The following is a 20,293-nucleotide window of genomic DNA, read 5'->3' as shown; positions in this document are numbered from 1 at the left end:
TACTTGAGATTAGGGAGTGGTGATGACTCTTTTTTTTTTTTTTTAATTTATTTATTTATTTTTTATTGATCATTCTTGGGTGTTTCTCGCAGAGGGGGATTTGGCAGGGTCATAGGACAATAGTGGAGGGAAGGTCAGCAGATAAACAAGTGAACAAAGGTCTCTGGTTTTCCTAGGCAGAGGACCCTGCGGCCTTCCGCAGTGTTTGTGTCCCTGGGTACTTGAGATTAGGGAGTGGTGATGACTTTTAACGAGCATGCTGCCTTCAAGCATCTGTTTAACAAAGCACATCTTGCACCGCCCTTAATCCATTTAACCCTGAGTGGACACAGCACATGTTTCAGTGAGCACAGGGTTGGGAGTAAGGTCACAGATCAACAGGATCCCAAGACAGAGGAATTTTTCTTAGTGCAGAACAAAATGAAAAGTCTCCCATGTCTACTTCTTTCTACACAGACACGGCAACCATCCGATTTCTCAATCTTTTCCCCACCTTTCCCGCCTTTCTATTCCACAAAGCCACCATTGTCATCCTGGCCCGTTCTCAATGAGCTGTTGGGCACACCTCCCAGACTGGGTGGTGGCCGGGCAGAGGGGCTCCTCACTTCCCAGTAGGGGCGGCCGGGCGGAGACGCTCCTCACTTCTCAGACGGGGCGGCTGCCGGGCGGAGGGGCTCCTCACTTCCCAGACGGGGTCGCGGCCGGGAAGAGACGCTCCTCACATCCCAGACGGGGCGGTGGGGCAGAGGCGCTCCCCACATCTCAGACGATGGGCGGCCGGGCAGAGACGCTCCTCACTTCCTAGATGGGATGGCGGCCGGGCAGAGGCGCTCCTCACTTCCCAGACTGGGCAGCCAGACAGAGAGGCTCCTCACATCCCAGACGATGGGCGGCCAGGCGGAGACGCTCCTCACTTCCCAGACGGGGTGGTGGCCGGGCAGAGGCTGCAATCTCGGCACTTTGGGAGGCCAAGGCAGGCGGCTGGGAGGTGGAGGTTGTAGCGAGCCGAGATCACGCCACTGCACTCCAGCCTGGGCACCATTGAGCACTGAGTGAACCAGACTCCGTCTGCAATCCCGGCACCTCGGGAGGCCGAGGCTGGCGGATCACTCGCGGTTAGGAGCTGGAGACCAGCCCGGCCAACACAGCGAAACCCCGTCTCCACCAAAAAAATATGAAAACCAGTCAGGCGTGGCGGCGCACGCCTGCAATCGCAGGCACTTGGCAGGCTGAGGCAGGAGAATCAGGCAGGGAGGTTGCAGTGAGCCGAGATGGCAGCAGTACAGTCCAGCTTCGGCTCGGCATCAGAGGGAGACCGGGGAAAGAGAGGGAGAGGGAGACCGTGGGGAGAGGGGAGAGGGGAGAGGGAGTCATCTCCTTTCCTACACAGAGCTGTTCAAGCAGGGGGACTGGCCTCACCTGTTCCGTGTCCTTCAGGCCCCAGTGCCTTCGTGTCAACTGAGTGAGGAATGGAGGACATGAAAGAGCTCAAGACTGGGCATCAGGGGACCCAGACTCCAGACTCTGTTGCTCAGTGACTAGCTAGCTAGTGAGTTCACTCAGCAGCCCTGGGCCTTGTGCTGGCTGGGATTCCTGCCCTGCAGAATGAGGAGATGGGTTGAGATCTCTGGTCTCCCTTCTGGCACTGGCCTTCTGTGACCTAAGTATTCGCTGTGCACCTGTCGGGTCCTCAGCTTGTGTTACAAAAGATGATCCCTCTCATGCCCCACAGTCCCTATCCCGTGCAACACGCAGTCTCCTGGTTAGGTTCTCAAGACAGAGGAGGAGGAAAGAGAAGCAGATAAAGGGCTAGGAGGGCAAAGCTGGAGCTTCTGACTCCTGGGACCACAGCACTCAACAGTGTGCAAACTCATATGTTCATGTGCATGCTATGTATGTGCATGTGTGTGTACGTATGTGTGCATGTGCATGGTGCACGTGTATATGCATGTGTGTGCAAGTGTGTGCGTATGCCTGTGTGTCCATGTGTGCGTGCATGGGTATGTGTGTGCAAGTGTGTGTGCATGCATGTGTGTCCGTGTGTGCATATATGTGTGTGTCCATGTGTGTGCATGTATGTGTGTGTGCATGCACAGTTGTTTGGTTTTGCCTTCTGTGATGACACAGCAGCACCGAGGTGACAGTCTGTGTGCACAGCAAAGACGTACATCTTGATAAGCCGCCTGCGGGTCTGGCCTTATTGAGGCTCTTTGTTAGGTTGTCTGCCAGCGGAGCTGAGCTGCGATCTTACAGGAAAGCTGCTTGGGAGGAAGGCACGAGATCAATGTGGAGAGGCAGGGCAGAGAGGGAAGGCAAGGGACAGCCCAGAGAGGGAGGACAGGAGGGAGGGAAGGGACCCAGGTCAGCTGGGGCAGGAGGCCCGCTGGGGCAGGAAGGGGTCTGAGATTTGTCCTCCTCTTTCAGGTCATGACAGGCCCTCCTGGGGACGAAGGTCAGGGTCTAAAACAGGGGCCCACCATGCACAGGCATGAGGGAAGCTTTCCTGATAACTCCCAGGAAAGCAACAGGAAAAGCCGAGTGCTTTGCATTCCCTCGGGCCCTTTGCCTGAATTTCTCTTCACCGAAAGGTGTGAGCTTGTCTGCAAACATAATATCATAAGGTGTTGTCTCCTGCACACAGCTGGCTAGCAGGAGATGATGGGAGGAAGGGCAGTCCTCCCCGCAAGTAACCACTCACCTGAACGAGCAGAGCAGGGATCCTGGGGGAGAAGACTCGGTTCCCTGGGTGTCTGGAGTGGAAAAGCACAACTTGGGTTGTGGGACTGCAGTTGACAGAAGGATTCAATATGATGCAAGCCAGGGGATGCAAGCGGTTGGGCACGGCAGAACACCGTTGACTCACTGGTAAATATATTTCCGTGCCTCACCGCCTTTACTCCCAATACTGTGTCTTGTCTTCAACATCTTATAGTTCTTGCCATAAGGAAGTTCTTCTTCATGTCTCACTTAAATCCCCATTTCTTAGTGGATTGCCTCCGAAGTCTTCAAGGGACCCAGAGCACAGCTAAACCTCCAGGATCTCAAGTTCAGGGACAGTGAGAGGGCACAGCAAAATGGAGAGGAAGGAGGTCAGCAAGGCCCCTGAAGCTGGGAGGGAAGGGACAGTGAGACCTGGTAGAATTCGGCTTCCCCGTCAAGTGGCTGGCTCAAATTGAATTTGCTTACGTAGCTCAAGAAAAATTTATGGAGTCACACTGTGATAGGTACGATTCTAGGTGCTGGGGATCAAAACTCAATCCCCTGCCTGCTATTAGCCCCAGACAGACAATAAATGAGAAATCAAATAGATGAACAAATCATGTCACTTAGAAAATTTAAAAAGTAATAAGGTAGAGAGTGAAAGTGAGGGAGGTCCCCCTGGCTGGCTTTATCTCGGGAGGCCAGGGACAGCCACTCTAGGAGATGATATTGGGCTGAGACCTGACGATGGGAAGGAGCCAGCCATGTAAAGTTCTAGGGGAAGGGCATTCCAGGAGGAGAGAACAGCTGGTACAAATGCCCTGGGGTGAGAATGAGCTTAACATGTTTGAGAGGTGAAGTGTTTCTGGATGAAATCAGAGAAATCAGCAGAGCCAGTTCCTGTGGCCATCTTGCAAGTTTAGATTTTAAGATCAATGGGGACCAGGCATAATGACTCACGCCTGTAGTCCCAGCACTTTGGGAGGCTGAGGCAGGTGGATCACTTGAGGTCAAGAGTTTGAGACCAGCCTGGCCAGCATGGCGAAACCCCATCTCTACTAGAAATACAAAAATTAGCCATGCATGGTATCACACGCGCCTGTAATCCTAGCTACTAGGGAGGCCGAGGCAGGAGAATCACTTGAATCTGGGAGGTGGAGGTTGCAATGAGCTGAGATTGTGCCACTGCACTCCAGCCTGGGTGACAGAGTGAGACTCTGTCTCAAAAACACAAAACAAACAAAAAAGAGCAATGGGACGACATTAGAGGGTTTTAAGCCAGGGAGTGGTGTGATTTGATCTTCAGAAAGATCCACTCTATGTGGAGAATGGATCAGAGAGAGGCAGGATGCAAGGCGGGGGCCAGTTCGGGGGTGCTTGCATTAATCCAAGTGAGAGCAATGTTGGCTTGGCCAAGGGTGGTAACGGTGGAGATGGAGGGAAGCGGACAGATTTATAAAGTTTTGGAACTGAGGTGTGCAGACGTTGGATGGGAGGAGGGAAAGTGATAGCAATCAGATAGAAAATGTGTCCTGAAATGGAGAAGTCTCAAGGAGGGTCAGGTCTGGGGGAGAACACGCTAAGTTCAAAGTGAGAGCTGAAGCCAGCTGGACTTCTTGGGTCGAGTGGGGACTTGCAGAACTTTTTTGTCTTACAAGAGGATTGTAAAACGCACTCATTAGCGCTCTGTGACCCAAGGGCAGATGACATGCCAATAGGCGGTTGCAATGCCCTAAATTTCGCAAAGGACACCCGGGGCAAGACACACAGCTTGGCTTGGAGGAGCCTGGAATGGAACCAAGTGGGGGAAAATATGCTCTGTGCCCTGCTCCCCCCATTTCTGCCCAAGGAGCCTCAACACCTACACCCCCACCCTCTCCAGACTCCCCATGTTAGAATCGTAGAATTCCTTCCAGCTCAGAAATCTCATGATTCTATGCGACTTGACACTGAGCCATCAAATGGAAAGGCAGAGTCTCATTCTAGGAATAATGTGAGACCTCTTTGACCACGGAGGCCAAGGACAGGATGAAGGAAGCTTTCTTCAATCCCGAAGAGCTGGTCATTCTGAGCAGTAGCGTGATTCGCTCTGATGATCCTCTTTCATTTAGCCTTTTCCTACAGGTGAAAGAAATCTGTCTAAAATGAATGTCTAGGGTGGTCTTATAAGGGAAAAGAAGGAGAAGAGACCGAGGGGTCCCCGCAACCTTAGAGGGGCACATGAGCGGGAGGAGGAGCACAGCCATGCTAGGCCCTGAGCACACCTCACCTGCCGCTGTGCGCTGTGTCTGCAGCTCTCATCTTTGTCATGAGCCAGCAAATGGGTCTCCCCGTCCCCTTCCAGCCCACTCCTTTCAGCTACCTGGAACTCAAAGCAACAAAGACACCCCCAAAGCACTCAAATGTTCCCATATCACAGGACCTGTTCAAGAAGGCCAGCCAGCCGGAGCACCACCCCAGGATTGCCATGAGACTCCAAGGGAGGGGAGGTACCTCTCAAAGCCTCGGTTTCTTCATCTGCAAACTCAGATGAGCTCTAGAACAACACTGTCCAAAACGCTGGCCACCAACCATACGTGGCTATTTAAATTTAAGTTAATTAAAATTAACTGTTTTTTAAATTCGGGTCCTCAGGCGTGCTAGCCACACTCCGAGTTCTCAGTAGCCACGTGTGGCTGTTGGCTACCGTTTAGGACAGCACAGATGTAGGCCATCTTCATCATCTTAGGAGATTCAATTGGTGAGGCTTTAGGACGGGGGTTCCCTAAATATAGTGCCTGGACTAGCAGCATCGGCAACCCCTGGGAACACTTCAGAAACTCTCAGGCCCACCCTGGACCCCCTGAAGGAGAAACTCTGGGGGCGGGGTTCTAACAAACCTTCCAGGCGATTCTGATGCACGCTGAAGTTTAAAAATCAAGGCTCTAGTCTGGAGTAACAGCCTCACACATTATCTCGCTTGAGCCTCAACAATCTTATGCAACTTCTGCCCTTCCAGGGGAAGTAGAACCGTGACTCATCTTGCAGCTGAGGAGACGAAACGCAAAGATCACAACCCTGGAAAATGCAGGGCTGGACCTCTGGCCTTTGACCCTTCCCTGCTCTCATTTTTCCCATCAAATTTCTCTAAGATCATTCCAGAGTGAAAAAACAAAAACACAATCCTGTATCTCTGTGCCATACTGGAACTCCCACCAACTGGGTACTCGAGAAGTGAGAATGACTGTGACGGACACAGCGTAATGGTTAAGAAGCCACATCCGTTCCCGTTTCACAGATGAGGAAACCCGAGCCTGAGCAGACAGCGGCTTGCCTGTGCCCGCCGCTCCTTCCCGATCACCAGGACTCAGTCCAGGTCCAGAGAGGAGGCAGCTTCAGGGAGAGACAGGCCCAGGCTGCAGTCCTGCTTCTGTGATTAACAAGCTGGTGACTTGGGCAAGCCATGTGACTCTGAAAAGTCTCCATTTCTTCAGCTTGGAAAGTCAGAATAATAATAGGACTGGCCTGCTGTGGGATTCAATACACTCATGCATGTGAGGTGCTGGACACGTTCTAAGCGCCCAGCGCAGTTTTGATATTATTATACCAGACACTAGGAAGCTGGCCTAGTTTTGAAATTCTTCTTCTTTTCAATATAACCTGCCTCTTCTTTCTATTCATTGGCCCCAAGTTTTCCTGGAGCTCTTTGTCCCAGATTTCTCTGGATATGTGAGCACCTGCTTGGGTTCTCCAAGCCTATTTGGGAACCAGAAAGTCAGGGGTGGCCCTTGTAAGCACAGTCATCAAAAGAGAACTATTTGCCAGCTGGTGGTGCCTGTAGTTTCCTGGAACCCACCTGCAGCCCTGGGCAAACCCGAACCTGGCTTTGAGCTGGAAAAGAGCCTCCTTATAAAGCAGGGAAGATCCTGAGCAGACAGAGGGTATGAAAGGAATGGTTACACCAGGTTAAGATCCAAGGAGCCCATGAGTTGCTAGGGCAACGGCCCTGAATTCCAGGGTGCCACTCTTGGTCACGTGATTTGGTCAAAAGGGTGGGTCTCTCTGGCCTCTATATTCCCATCTATGGGAAAGGGGAGACTGAGCTGTCCCATCCACCGGCCTTGAGTTCCCAGAGATCTAGGATGAATCTGCCCTCGTTGTTTTCTGGAATGGGAGCCTCATCACTGCTGGGCATTTTCTGTCGCTCTTCTTCCAGTGGGAACGAGAGAGGCTGCCGTCTCTGTTCTTCCCCCACCCCTCCCACTCCCCAGAAACCCCAGTTTGCACTCTGCCCTCTGACTCAGTCCTCCCATCCGCTGCGGTCTCTCTCCTCAGTTCCTGCGGAAGCACCTCCTCTCTTTAACTTGACTCTATTTTTTTCTCTCCCCGTCTCTTCCCTGGCCTTGCCCTCTCTCTTTCTGCCCTGTAGCCGCGGGCGTCCAAATGAAGCTGGAATTCCTCCAGCGCAAATTCTGGGCGGCAACGCGGCAGGTAGGTGTGATGTCGGGCCAGGTCGGGGCTGGGGACTCACCACGCTCCCCTGGGTGTGAGACCCCCTCTCCCTCCCCTTGGATGCTCCACTGCCTTGAGGCTCTCAGGATGCCCTCCCGGCCCCTACACTTCTCAGCCCCTCAGCTCCCCAGCCTGCAGGCCGGGCCTCAGCGCTGGTCCCCAGCCCCTGCCAGCCCAGTGCTGAGGGCACGACCCAGAGTCACCCCTTCTCGCCACTCCAAAGCCACTGGCATGCCTCCCCGCTGAAAAGGGAGAGCCACCTCGATCCACCGTCCAAGGTCCGGGGTCCAGGCCCTGATGGCTGGCAAGAGATGCCAGAGACGACAGCGGCTTCTGGCTGAGAATTCCCAGCTCTGCCTGGCCTCGTCCTGTCCGTTCTACTGGCTCCTTTCCCCTCTGCTTCCCCAGAGCCCTCAGGTCCCTCTGGGCTTCTGAGCTGCCCCCTTCATCTCCCTCAAGCTCCCTCAGCCTCAATCTCCTGCAACGCCGAGCCCCTCGGCCCCCATCACTTGCTGCTGCCGCCTGACTCTGGGCAAGGGCAGGGAGCCCAAGAGTGAATCGAGAGGGATGGAGGGCAGGGGGCTGCGGTCACCCACCGCCTCAACCAGACAGCCAGTGCAGGAGCCCCACAGAGCCCACAAAGTCCCCTCCCCACACCAGCAACGAGGCCTGGGGGCTGCAGAGCCTGCACCTCTAGAAGGGCTACCTGGGCCCTTCCACCACCCAGGGCCTGCCGAATGCAGCACCCGCAGGCCACATACCACATGCATACCACGCACACAATGCTAACACACACCACACGCATGTGCCCTCCACGTACAGACACCCCACACATAGACACACACATGCACACACCTCACACACGTGCTCTCCACATACGACACACACATCCCACACCCACACCCCACACAGGTGCCCTCCATGTGCAGATACACACCCCATGCACACATGCACACACACTGCAGACGTACCACACACACAGCATTCCCACTTACACGTGCCATTTCTACTACACATGCAGTGTCCACATTCAGTCTCTCCTCTTCCTTCCAGTGCAGCACTGTGGATGGGCCGTGCACACAGAGCTGCGAGGACAGTGTAAGTTCTGCCCGTGTGAGGAAGGTGGAGGAGGGAGCCATGGCCCTCCGCCCGGTCCTCCTGGCAGGCCAGCTTCCCTCTCCCAAATGCCCTCCTTCCCTGCAGTGAAGCTCCCACGCTGCCTTCCAGAGCTGGGGGACAGGCTGGAGGACCGGGGTGGGTGAGGGCCCTGGCATAACCTCCCTTCTGGGTTTCCTCCCAGGATCTGGACTGCTTCGTCATCGACAACAACGGGTTCATTCTGATCTCCAAGAGGTCCCGAGAGGTGAGTCACTGGGGATATAGAATGAGGGGGAGAGGGCGGCAGGAGGACTGGAGACATTGGGCAGCCACTCCAGCTAAAGAGAGCCCCACGGCCCCAGGAGGGAACCCTGTTCGGGGCCAATTCAGGTGAAAGGTCTGAAGAACATGGTGTTCTGACACCAAAGTCAACAGAGCAAGAAGGCAGAATTTGGAGCACTTTTCAACTCAGGGAGTCAGAGAAAATATTACTTCTTCATTTTATCTGTCACTAGCCTGGCCTCCTCCCGTGCCTGGTAGGAGCCACTCAGTGACCCCATCTCAGGGCCCTGCCTGGCCACACTGGCCCAGCCTCACTCGGGGCCTCCCCACAAGGATCCAAGCACACTCACTTATCAGATCATTCCCCAACCCCCGCCTGCCTTTCTACCATTGTGGGGCCCAGAAGACATGGCTTCCCCACTTCATGTTCTTGTCCTGTCTGGACCTTATGGAAAATTATACTCTCACCCACCACGCCCGGCCTTCGGTGTGTCAGAGAAGAAATGGGGGATGGACGCGATGCTTTCTCGCCTGAATGCCTGGCTTGCACATCCTAATCCTCCCCCCGCCCCCGCTGGCTGTGGGTATCTCCCTGAACCCAGCATGTGCTCAGAAAGGAAAAAGAGAAAGTACAATAATATTTTTATACTTGCTGGGCTCCAAAAGGGGCCTCAAAATGGATTATTCCTTTAGCCAGGAATCAAACTGAGAAAGAAGCCCATTCAAACCTGAAGCAAATCCAGATATATTCACCAGATGTATTTCCTTGAAGCAAGGCAGAAGCATCAGAACCGCCTCCTGCCTGAGCCTCGGGGAAAGGGGCATAGTATTTGGTTCTGTGTGAGCTTTGCTACTAATTAGAAACGTGATGTGGGCAAGCGACTTCCATTAGCTGTGTCTCGCCGGGGGCTGGACTACACAGTGTCTAAGCCAGCCCCAGCTGAGGGCTCTAAGTTCCTGGGATGTGGAGGCTGATGCAGAGGTCGTGGCCAAGGCCACCTCCACGCATGGTAGGGCTGTGGTCTGGCCTGACCGGGATGCGGCTTCGGATCCAAAGAAGTCGTCGGAACAGGGCAGGAACTGGAGCAGGGATGTCGGAAGGAGACTTGGGAAAGAGGGCAAGTGAGGACAAAGGGGCACCAGTGGGTCATGAAATCTAACTCCTTGGGGTAGTGTTTAAATGACCCACTTAACGAGCAGCAGTTCTCAGCCACAAGAGTAGAGAAGCCAAAGATGGTTTCGTTCAACTTCCTGTTGGTGGGAGTGTGGGCGGGGCTTTGCAGGACACACAGCTAATTGAGCATCACGGTCACCTGGGCGCCTGCCTCTGGTACCCTCCCCCTTCTCCCTTTCATGCCCCATTTTCGTCATTTCACTCCTCCCCAGACAGAGCACCGGACCTTTGTATTTTTCCGTTGTTCTGGGAGAAAACCAGTGATGATAAGAGTTGAAACCAGTGGTTGGTGTGAGGCTCTGGGATCACTGATGCCCCCTCATTCGTGCTCCGACCCCTCTCGCCCTGGGTGACTGAGACTGACCGTGTCCCCAGGCCTCCCGTGGTGTTGGCTTTCAAGGGCCGGAGCATGGGCTAAGGCATCCCAGAGAGAGCTTGCATCCTGGACACTGGGATGGGAGGTGGCAGGACAGAGGGAGAGGATGGCCAAGCCTGAGAGCAAGCTCAAGAGCAGGGGTAGGCGAGCGTTTCCTAAAGGGGCGGATGCACATGTTGGTTTTGAGCTTCATGAGACTCAGCCCTGCTGTTGTAGCAAGAAAGCAGCCATGGGCGATCTGTGAGCAAATGCAGGTGGCGTTGCTCCAGTAAAACCTTTGAATACTGAAATGTGAATTTCATATAAATTTCACGTGTCATGAGATGTTATCAATCTTTTGACTTTTTTTCCCCAACCACTTGAAAATGGAAAAGCCAGTCTTAGATCAAGGGCTCACATGAATCAACAGTGAGCCAGGCTTGGCCTACGGGCTGTAGTTTCCAGCCCCTGCTCCAGAGGCAGCGGGACAACCGTGCGGGGAGGCGGCCCTGGAGGGAAACCACCCCAGCCTTGAGAGAAGCTGGAGAGCACGTGGCCTCTCCAGGGTCCCTCCAGGGTCCCTCGAGGGACCCTCTCATAACCCACTGGGCCACTTTGGTCCTATTCTGTCCAGACCACATTTGCTCACATGTCTTCACAGATTGTAAAATCACTGAGAACAAGTTTGGATTAGATGTGGTAGCAATCAATTACTCAGAGATTTATATTTTATAATGTATTTGTTGACTTAACTCATTCACCCCCATTTTCTCAATGATTCTATTACCTTTTTACCCCGTGTGTAGTTTTATATGCCATCCCAAACCCTCCATGAAATGAAGCAGGGCAGAAACGAACTGACCTTCTAGAGGCTCCTGCTGGGGCCCCCGCTCCCGCCGTGCTTGGCTCACCCTTGCTCCCCCACTGTGATCAGGGCCCAGTTCCTCCTTCCTCACTCTGGACAGCTCTGACCATGCAGCCTGAACTGTGTCGGGTTATGGGAGGGCACTAGGCCAGAGACCCTGCCTGGTGTGGTGCCTGGCACACAGCAGACACTGGGTAACCGTGTGGAGAACTGAACTGGCCTGAGAGTGAGGGCTGGAGGCAGCAGGCGCTAGACTGGGAGATGAGTGGAAGACAGGGCGGCGGAGAGTCTGGGGCTAATGCCATTTGTTCAGCTGTCCGACCCTCTGTCCGTCCATCTGTTTTTGCTGTTTTTAAAAAAACTTACTCATTTAACAACTCTAGAGCAGTTATCTATTGCTGCACACAAACTATGGCAAAAAGAGTGGCTTACAAGCAGAAGACTTAAAATCTGGCAGTTTCTGTGGGTGAGGGATCTGGGTGCGGCTGGCTCAGGGTCTTGCACAGGCCACAGCATCAAGGTCCCCAGGGCTGCTGTCATGTCATGTCCAGGCTTGACTGGAGAAGGATCTGCATCTGGTCACACGTTGGCAGCATTGAGGTCCTCCAGGGCTGTGAGGCGGAGGCCTCCTCTCCCATCACAGGGCAGCTCACAGCAAAGTTCACAGTGCAGCTCACAGCTCAAAGTTCCTTCATCAGACCGAGCAAACCAAGGTGGAAGTCACAGTCTTTTGAAACCTGATGTCAGAAGCGACACCCCATCACTTTTACCATATTCTGCTTGCTAGAAACAAGTTACTATGTCCAACCTATACTCAAGAGGAGGGGCTTACACAAGGGCAGGACTCCCAGGAGGCCGGGATCATTGTGAACCACTTTAGAGTCTGCCCACCACCAACTCCCACCAACCGACCCAAACCTGCCCCTCTTCCCCAAACACACAAGTGCCATCGAGGGCCACAGGGCCTGGCCTCCCCTAACTCATTCATTCCTCACTGCTCCTCCCTGCTTATCTCTAGGCCTCCAGTGTGGCTGAAGGACAGAAGCCCCAGCATCTGGGAGCTTGTTAGAGATGCAGATTTGCCAGGGTCCCACCCCAGACCTAGGGACTCAAGCACTCTGGGGTTGGGGTCTGGCAGTCTGCTCAAAGGGGCCCTCCAGGTGACTGGGTGCATGGTGGGTTGAGAACCCTCCCCAGGCCTCCTGGCTGCTGTGGATCTCAATGCACTTTAGCTGGCTGCTGTCACTTTCCTGACTAGGCAAATATGTCAAAGGCTTCCAGCGACTCCTTGTCCCTGCTAGGGCTTACCCAGGGGCCTGGAGAGAGAAGCCTGTTGAGCTACAGATGCAAAGATTCTTCCCAGACAAAGTCCTTGCACACCCTCCTCCCCGTAGTCAGTGAGTGGGGAAACCACAAGGGCCTCATCTGCAGCCAGCCCCAGGGAGTGGCTGCTTGGCTCTTTCTTGGCACCGGCGGTGTTCCAGGCCTGCTGATTAGACATTTGGCCTCTCTTCCAGGCCAGGGCTCATTCTTATAAGAGTTATGGATGACAAGATTGCAACCCTCGATGTGGGGCCTAGAAAGAGAAGCAGACAGCTGGGGACAGGCAATGACAGTGGCTTTGTGGAGCTTTGTAATATTTATAGTGGATCTGTCACCCTGAATCTGGGGACTCCGATTCCTGTCATTTGCTTCTGGGCGGCACCCACCCATGGAAGCTTCAAAGTGGATCTTCAAGGGGCAGCAACTGCAGCCTAGAAAATCCGAGGCCCCATCCCAGCACCTTTCCCTGAGGGACCTGGATCTCTCAGAGCACAGCACCCTGCTCCCTCCACACCCCAGCCCAGTGAGCCGGACCAGGCAGGCCCTCAGAGCAGGGCATCCCTCTCTGTCGTCAGGGGGCATCAGGCATGCCTTTCTGGGCCTCGGCTCCTGTTTCTCTGAATCCCTCTCACCTTCCCTGCCGCCTGCGGCCCGCCCAGCCCAGGCTCCTCATCTTCAAGTCACTATCCCAGCCTGGCACGTGTTGCCATCCTTTCCACTCTGGGCAGCCTGCCTTGGCCATCTTCCGGGACACCACATGCCCTGGCAGCGGTGCTCCTTCTACCTTCCTGGCGTCCCAAATGGCCCTGCTCCACTGGGCCCTCCAGGAATAGAATTAATCCTGTCGTGGTCAGAGGCAGGCTCTTCAGGTGGCTTTCTGGGGAGTGCAGTGCTGCCCCACCCCCACCCCGCTCCTCCACGTACCTCCCAGGCACCCCTGAGTGTCCAAAACACTCCTTAAGAGACTGCAGCCTGGAGGACGGAGGGGCAGGTGAGGCTGCACAAGCCAGGAGCAGACAAAAGGAAACTGATCCCGACCCGAGCCAGACACAGGGACTTGAGTGTCCACACCCCTTAGGAGGATGAGCTCCCATCTTTAGAGAAGAAACGGAGGCTGTCCCCAGGTAAGGAGGCCATGGGACATTTACTCCATCTGTCATCAGAGTCAAGAGCACCCCTTCTCTCTGGGCACAGCCTCCCACAGCCCTGCAAATTAGTCCAGGCCTGGGAGGGACTACCCAACCTCTCATCACTTGGTCGCCTGCCTCTGCCCCCATCTGCTTCCCCCGCAGGCTTCTGGGTGGTGCTCACAGGACCTCCTCCTCCTGGCCTCCCTCCAGACTCGAAGGCCAGGCAGGGGGGGTCCTCGACTCTTTTGACCCAGCCCCAGAGTTCAGGCAGCCCACGGGCCACTGCTTATTTGTGAATTGTCCCCCATGAAAGGGGGGCTGGGGTGGTCAGGCCCCTGCATCGTGCTATGCTTTGGGTGCCACTCCACGGGCGGTCTGGGGCTCCTAAATCGACAAGGCATCCCACGTCGACGTTTGGACCTTCGCTTTGCAGGTTCAGGGACTGTATTTGAGTCGGGGATTTGCCCTGACAAAGTTCAAAAGAAACTATCAGCCAGGAATTGTGTTCTGCTGCCAGAAGAGAAGTGGCTTAAACAACTAAAGGTTTATTCTCTCATAAAAGAATGGATGAAGGCAGCCTGGGCCCAGCCTGTCCCCATCCGCACGATCCCAGCATAGCTGGAGGGGCTCCTGCCTTCGAGTCCACTTCCCAGAGCGCAAGAGCGAGGATGGGGAAGAGGCAGGAGGCCTTGGGCCCGCTTCCCGGAAGTCCCTCCCAGCGGCTCTGCTCACATTCCATTGGCCAGTCCCTGCCGCAAGGGCTACTGGGAAATGTAGTCTTTTCGCTGAGCACATGGCTGCCATAATTAAAGTCAGGCTGCCTAACTAAAGAAGACGGGGAGAATGGATATTTTCTGCCAGAGTGACAAATCCTAGAAAAATCAAGCTAGTAATTTATGGAGGGGGATACATTTTTCTAGTGTCCAGGATACACATCCTTGCTCTCAGGGACCTCTCTTCTCAGAATCCAGGGTCTAAACCACAGGGTTGTTGGTGAATAAGCCTAGAATTAGGAAGGAGAATGGGACAGGTTTGTAGGAATTAAGACCAGCCTCGTCAGAAGCCTTGTCTGCACCCCGCTGCACTTTCCCAGGGAGCAGAAGACTCGGGTCATTCATTCCCTCACACATTCCTTCAGCAAATATGCATGGAATAATAACTGTGAACAGGACATGGTGTGGTGCTGTGGGACAGAAGTGGATTTCTGTCCCCTAGAATCCTGCTGTCAGGTGAGGGGGTGACGGAGGGGACACACACACACACACACACACACACACACACACACACACACAGTAACTAGAATAGCAAAAAGCGAGCCCCAGCTGAGAGAGTTTACTCCAGCTGGAGGCACCAGGGAGAGCTTCAGGGCTGCGCCGTGAAGAACAGGCAGGATTTCAATGTCTTTCACATTCCCATGTGCTGTTGTGTCCCTGGAATGCCCTTGACCCTCCCTGCTGTCCCGCTGCCATGTCCACTGCCTTCTTTCATGCAGCCTGCCAGGGCTTTAGGTTGCCACTCCTTTCCACCACCGTAGGAGGTGCCGGTTTTCAGCCAGCCATGTCTGAGAGTTTGTGTGTTCCCTGCCTGTCCATGCAAACTAGTCTGAAGCTCTTGATTCGTGTCCATTTCATTCATCTTTGCATCAGACTCACCTGGTGAGTGCCTTATGAATAAAAGGTATTATGAAATAGTTTTTGGTGGTCAGGCCATTCCAGGTAAAGAACTAGCAGAGTGTAGACAGACAAGTGTGAGCACCTTTGTCTGAATCTGTTTTCCTGCTGCTTACTTTTGTAATTGACCCTCCATTTTTAGATTACAATTTGCCATGCATTTTTAGTGGGTTGCATCCTTACGTTTTAATTTTATAAGTCAGCCATTTCCACTTACACAGGAAATACTGTAGGATGTAAGGACTATGTTTTGTTATTTAAGTCCAATTTGGAAAGTAATACTTCCTGACTCCATCCCAGATTCCTGGTGTGGGCGCATCTGGGGACCTGTGGCCCCATATTGGCTGATTATAAGTCACAGCATTATGAACCATGGGCATAACAGTTCTGGGGTTATTGTCCTGAAGCTGCACCATCATCTCTTATTTGAGAGAGAACTTCTCTGGTTGTTCATTGGGTGTTCAGGAGTTGTGCGTTCTGCCTAGCCCTTGTCTGGAATACATCTCTGTTCCCTTCAGAAGGCTTGCTGGAGTCTACTTGGCTGCCCAGGGCAGGCCCCAGGTGGGCACCCAGACAATGCCTGGCTTTCCTTGAGATTGGCCAGGCCCATGTGCCTCAGCTCCTGTACCAGCCTTGCATTTCTTTTTATTGGTAGTTATCACACATGTCATCATTTTGGGCCCTGGCAGCTAGAAAGCTCTCCATGAAGAACCTGACGTGGCCATCAGCTTGGTTCCCACCTCCCTTCCCTATCAACATTCCACACTGACTGAGTATGTCCAGGTACCAAGACACTTTGGGGAATTCAGAGATGAGTAAGACATGGTCCTGTTCTCATACAGTTTTCAACCAAATATCTTATCAGGCAGAGTGAGACTAGGACTCCACAGGCTGCCGGTGTGCAGAGGAAGGCCTTGTTCTGGCTGGGAAAGTTAGAATAGAAAGACTTCCCAGCGAGGGTGAGGAAAGAAGTTCCTTGGCATGAGGACAGAGGAAGGGTAATCGGCAGGGAGAACAGCCAAGCCGGACCCCGGACCTCTCCTCCTAACGATGGCTGCCATTTTTCAAGTATTTACTGGGAGCCACACGCCGGACACACGCTATCCCCAATTTTTAAAGACAGCCTACATTAAAGTCGAAATCCAACACCAAAGCCCAAGCTCTGCCACCCTGACATGCTGGGAAATGGCAGACTCAAGAGGCCAAGGCAGGTACAGAGGCCATGAGAGGTGGCAGAGTGGAGGGCCTGAGGCCATTCTCAGCCAGCTAGGGGGCCGCTGCTTGGCACAGGGCACAGAAGCCACAAAGTGCTGGCTGATGGACAACAAAAGGGGAGCCGGGGGCAGGAGGGAGGGTCCTGTTTTATTTTTTGGAAATGAAGGCAAGAGTGACCCATCCATGTTGCATTTGAGTAAGATGACTCTGGCAGTGCCACAGGGACAAGAGGAGAGGTCAGTTAGGAGGGCAGGTGGGCAATGGAGACAGGGCAAGGGATCCGGTTAGGTCATTGTCATGGAGGGGACAAATGACCGATCCACAGGGCACACTGATTGTGGGAGGTGATGGAGGGACAGCAAAAGCCACAGCAGCCCTCTCACACTGGGAAGATGAGGACACCAGCGTGCATGAGACAGGCGCTGCTTCTGACCTTGACCTGCAGAAACGTGTTTTATATCTGACCCAACACACACACACACACACACACACACACACACACACACACACACAGCATATAAAACAAATCCAGTTTCATAAAACATTCTTTAACCTTGCTGCAAGTGATTCACACAGAATTGTTCCAAGGAATTCTGTACCATTAAAAAAATCACATTGCAGCCTCTACGTTGGTCTCATAGTCAGCTAGCGGGTGACTCCTTCCAGTTGAGGAAGCACCAGGCTGGACGGTGAGGAGGGAGCCAGGACCGGACAGGGGCGTGGGTGGAAGGGTTCAGCTGGATTATGCTGAGAGGCAGTCAGAGGGAAAGCCCAACTGGCACCAAAAGCCTCGACCTGAGCTGAATAAATAGTGCTGGACTCGGAAGGCTCCATCCTGCTCCATCTCTCTCCCTCCCTCTCTCTCTGCTGTCCCTCTCTCACAGACGGGAAGATTTCTGGGGGAGGTGGATGGTGCTGTCCTGACCCAGCTGCTCAGCATGGGGGTGTTCAGCCAGTAAGTGGGGCACACTCCTCCCCAGTCCAAATAGACACAGCAAACCGAGAGCTGACGCTAAGTGGTCCTGGCGGATCTCAGGATCCTGACCTCCAAAACCCACAGTGGGTGCCCCCAAAGAGCTGCAAAAGCAACCTTTATGGAGCCAGGGCGTCAGCATGATGTGGGGAGGGCGTAAGGGCATGTGGGCATCCCTGGGAGGGGCTCCGCAGCTCAGACCCTAGAGGGAAAACCGTCCAACTCCGAGGGCAAAAGCCATTTGCTCTTCATTGTCTTTAAACCATTCCAAGTGCAGAAATGTAATTTTCAGCATGAGCTGTATTCTGATCTGCTGTCCTAGCTCAGGCGCCCTTGGGAATTGCGGTAAACGGATGCTCTGCTAGTAAAGCCTCCTGAGGCAGGGGCAGGGGGTGGGGGTGGCTTTGGACTCATCACAGCCCGCTTCTGATTTTCAGAGTGACTATGTATGACTATCAGGCCATGTGCAAACCCTCGAGTCACCACCACAGTGCAGCCCAGCCCCTGGTCAGCGTGAGTGTCACCCAGCCCTTCCCTCTGCCAGCCAGCCAGCCAGTCCTCTGCCCTGTCCTGGAATGAGGTCACTGGTCCCTGTTCTCACCCACCTTGGGTGTCTGGCCCCAGGGCCCTACCTTGACCATCTCCATCTTCTGCTCAGAGCCACTGCTCTCAGTCCCACTCCCAGGCAGGCCTCTGGGTCTGGCTTTGGGGCTTCAGAGGGACTGCTCTGGTAGTTGTGACACAACAGTGCCTCTGGCGGAGACAGAGAGAGCAGCCTGCCCCAGCCTCAGCCCCTGACACTGCCGCTTGATCACCAGGGATCCTCAGCAGTGCAGCACCAGGATGAGGGCTTGACTCGTCTCCTGGAGGGGCATGTCCAACCCCACCCGAGATGTCTGACCTGCAATAGGCATTTCCCAGCTAGCTCAGCTCTGCAGGGCAGGTGGGAGGTGGGGGGATGGGGGGTGCTGGGCTGCTGGCCTGTGCTCTGCTGCCCCTGCTCCCAGTGGCAGGGCAGCCCACTCTCTGGTCTCTCTGAGGGTGGTGCTGGTGGTGGGGGGGGGGCACCCTCACCCTTGGACCTAGGTGCGAGCGGTGTGCACTCTCTCCTTCCCAGCCAATTTCTGCCTTCTTGACGGCGACCAGGTGGCTGCTGCAGGAGCTGGTGCTGTGAGTGGGGGTAGACACGGGGCTGGTGGAGGGCTGCATGCGAGGGTGGCTTAGGAGGGTGTCCTTGAGCAGGAGGCTGCAAGGTCTCCAGGACAACCCACTTGCTACCAGACCCCGGGGAAGGAGGGCACAATCCCTGGGCATGGACGCCACCTCTTCCCTGCATGCTGCCCCTGGGAGGGACCTCATTGCTCAACCAGAGCCCTCAAGCAGGGAAGAGGGTGTCCTGGAGGAGAGGGGATGGGCCGGGGGCTGTCAGGGATACTCCAGCTCCTTGGGAACCCAAGTCGGGAGGGCTCAGAGGTCTCCGAGATTCAGTCCTGTGTCTGACAGGTTCCTGCTGGAGTGGAGTGTCTGGGGCTCCTGGTACGACAGAGGGGCCGAGGGTGAGTGCACGGAGCTGCAGGGCCATGTGCTGAAGAGCAGTGGCATTTTGGTCCACTAACGTGAGACCATTCCCTGTGGGGTGGGTGACAGTGGGGATAGGTGACCCTGAAGCATCGTTGTTCACATCTCACCCTGCGTGGCCTTCTCTCATCACATCCCTCACTCCTGGCTCTGTGTGTGACATCATCTTGGGACACCGCCACTCCATGTGCCATCATCACCACCCCATGACATCCTGCCCTCATGTGCCACCATGTTTTCCTGTGCCGTGTCCACCCTGTGCTGGGCTTATGTTCCGGCCAGCCAAAAGTGTCTTCCATCACTGTAAGTAGCCCAGCTGAGGCCATCCCTGCTGGCGGTGGGTTGGGGACGCAGCAGGAGCTACAAAGAACCCACCCTCCATGACCTGTCCCAGGAATGACCCCAAGCAGGGCTGAGCTCTCCTGGTTTAAAGTACCATTCCTGGGGGTTGGGGGACTGGGGAGTCTAGCCCAGTTCTCATCCCACATGAGGACGGTCAGGCCCCAGGGAAAATGAGAAACTCCAGCCTCCCCTTGGGTGAGAACACGTAAGATTCCAAGAGGAAGCCGGTGGTGTGGCCGGGTGGCCATGAGCCAGTATGAGTGAGCAACCTCCAGCCCACCCCTTGGAGAAGCAAACAGCGGCACCCCAGCCCTCAGCGGGACTCCGGGTTCCAGGGGCCCCAGGAAGCTCTCAGGATGATTCCCCTGCGGGACCCTGTGTCTGAGGACAGAGTCCCCCAGAGGCAGCAACCATGAGAGGCCCCAACACAAAGCCCGGTGGCTGTGGCCACACGTGCAGGGCGGCAATGAGCCTGGCCTTTCAAAGCACTCACTGCCCGGGCGCCTGGGCCCTCCATGACTGCAGGAGGCCATCTTGCCTCAGCGGGCTCTGCTCAGTTCCTCCGTGTTCCTAGAACCTTTGCCATGGGGTTCCAGAACTTCCCACCACCTGGGCTGTCCCCAGCTTATCCCATCTCTTCATCTCCACTGTGGTCCTCTCTCTGGCTTGCTCTTCGTTCTCTTCTGCTGGCCTTGGCTTGGGGCTTCCTCTGCCCCTGGGCTCAGGGCAGTTCGGGCTGTGTCTCCAGACTCCTTCTGGACTCACATCCGCGATCGGGTGGGGCTGCTCTGGGGTGTTCACAGTCACTAGGTGTCAGTGACAGGACACTGTCCCCTCTGTCTCTGTCAGCAGCTGCATCTTGCAAAAGTTGAAGATGATCCCCCTCAATCTGCCTGCTCAGAATTTCTCTTCTCTGGGGTACCTGTCCCCTGGAGCTCCTCCCCCTGGTCTGGCCTACACAGATGTCAGTGTCCCCAGTGAAGGCGCACTGGACTTGGAGTCCCAGGCCGGGGCGTAGGTGCTGCAGCCCCTTCCACTGCGTGACCCTGGGGACGCCACTCAACCCTGCCATTGTCAGGCAGGCTTCTGTGCCCAGC

The 20,293-nt window shown here is 54.8% G+C and overlaps 1 protein-coding gene and 2 long non-coding RNA genes across 8 annotated transcripts in view, besides 4 other annotated features; 1 reads left to right on the top strand and 2 right to left on the bottom strand.

Annotated features, from left to right (window-relative positions):
• CACNA2D4 (calcium voltage-gated channel auxiliary subunit alpha2delta 4) overlaps positions 1-20,293 on the top strand; it is a 126,690-nt gene that overhangs the window by 99,821 nt on the left and 6,576 nt on the right. For all 3 annotated transcript variants that reach the window (NM_172364.5, XM_047429897.1, XM_011521041.3), the window contains 8 exons: positions 7,109-7,170; positions 8,245-8,289; positions 8,492-8,554; positions 17,188-17,258; positions 17,714-17,789; positions 18,394-18,446; positions 18,780-18,832; positions 19,137-19,157. In NM_172364.5, the coding sequence (NP_758952.4) occupies positions 7,109-7,170; positions 8,245-8,289; positions 8,492-8,554; positions 17,188-17,258; positions 17,714-17,789; positions 18,394-18,446; positions 18,780-18,832; positions 19,137-19,157 (444 nt within the window). The remainder of the gene's footprint in view (positions 1-7,108; positions 7,171-8,244; positions 8,290-8,491; positions 8,555-17,187; positions 17,259-17,713; positions 17,790-18,393; positions 18,447-18,779; positions 18,833-19,136; positions 19,158-20,293) is intronic.
• On the bottom strand, positions 26-5,636 carry LOC105369601 (uncharacterized). Its single transcript, XR_931546.3, has 5 exons — positions 4,970-5,636; positions 4,701-4,818; positions 2,864-3,108; positions 2,699-2,750; positions 26-1,598 (listed from the first exon to the last, which is right to left on the bottom strand). It is a non-coding gene; the product is annotated as an uncharacterized LOC105369601 (long non-coding RNA).
• Positions 5,622-5,861: an enhancer, noted in NCBI's record as "active region_5812". NCBI's record gives its function as "activates an Ori minimal core promoter by ATAC-STARR-seq in GM12878 lymphoblastoid cells {active_cell/tissue: GM12878}" and the evidence as "EXISTENCE:reporter gene assay evidence [ECO:0000049][PMID:35858748]".
• Positions 11,335-18,393, bottom strand: LOC105369602 (uncharacterized). 4 transcript variants are annotated; one of them, XR_931548.3, is made up of 4 exons: positions 17,882-18,393; positions 12,921-13,129; positions 12,274-12,541; positions 11,335-11,702 (listed from the first exon to the last, which is right to left on the bottom strand). It is a non-coding gene; the product is annotated as an uncharacterized LOC105369602 (long non-coding RNA). The 4 variants fall into 4 exon arrangements; XR_931549.3 differs by having other exon boundaries at positions 17,909-18,393; XR_931547.3 differs by lacking the exon at positions 12,921-13,129 and having other exon boundaries at positions 17,882-18,237.
• Positions 13,417-14,339: an enhancer, noted in NCBI's record as "H3K4me1 hESC enhancer chr12:1913659-1914581 (GRCh37/hg19 assembly coordinates)". NCBI's record gives its function as "activates a minimal SCP1, AML or CMV promoter by ChIP-STARR-seq in naive H9 embryonic stem cells {active_cell/tissue: H9 hESC(naive)}" and the evidence as "EXISTENCE:reporter gene assay evidence [ECO:0000049][PMID:30033119]".
• Positions 13,995-14,289: an enhancer, noted in NCBI's record as "tiled region #5038; HepG2 Activating DNase unmatched - State 18:Pol2, and K562 Activating DNase matched - State 8:EnhW". NCBI's record gives its function as "activates a minimal TATA promoter and a strong SV40 promoter by Sharpr-MPRA in HepG2 and K562 cells {active_cell/tissue: HepG2 | K562}" and the evidence as "EXISTENCE:reporter gene assay evidence [ECO:0000049][PMID:27701403]".
• Positions 14,097-14,256: a silencer, noted in NCBI's record as "silent region_4126". NCBI's record gives its function as "represses an Ori minimal core promoter by ATAC-STARR-seq in GM12878 lymphoblastoid cells {active_cell/tissue: GM12878}" and the evidence as "EXISTENCE:reporter gene assay evidence [ECO:0000049][PMID:35858748]".

The sequence above is a fragment of the Homo sapiens genome, chromosome 12, assembly GCF_000001405.40.
Source record: "Homo sapiens chromosome 12, GRCh38.p14 Primary Assembly".
NCBI lineage: Eukaryota > Metazoa > Chordata > Mammalia > Primates > Hominidae > Homo > Homo sapiens.
This window is presented reverse-complemented; position numbering and strand designations above follow the sequence as displayed.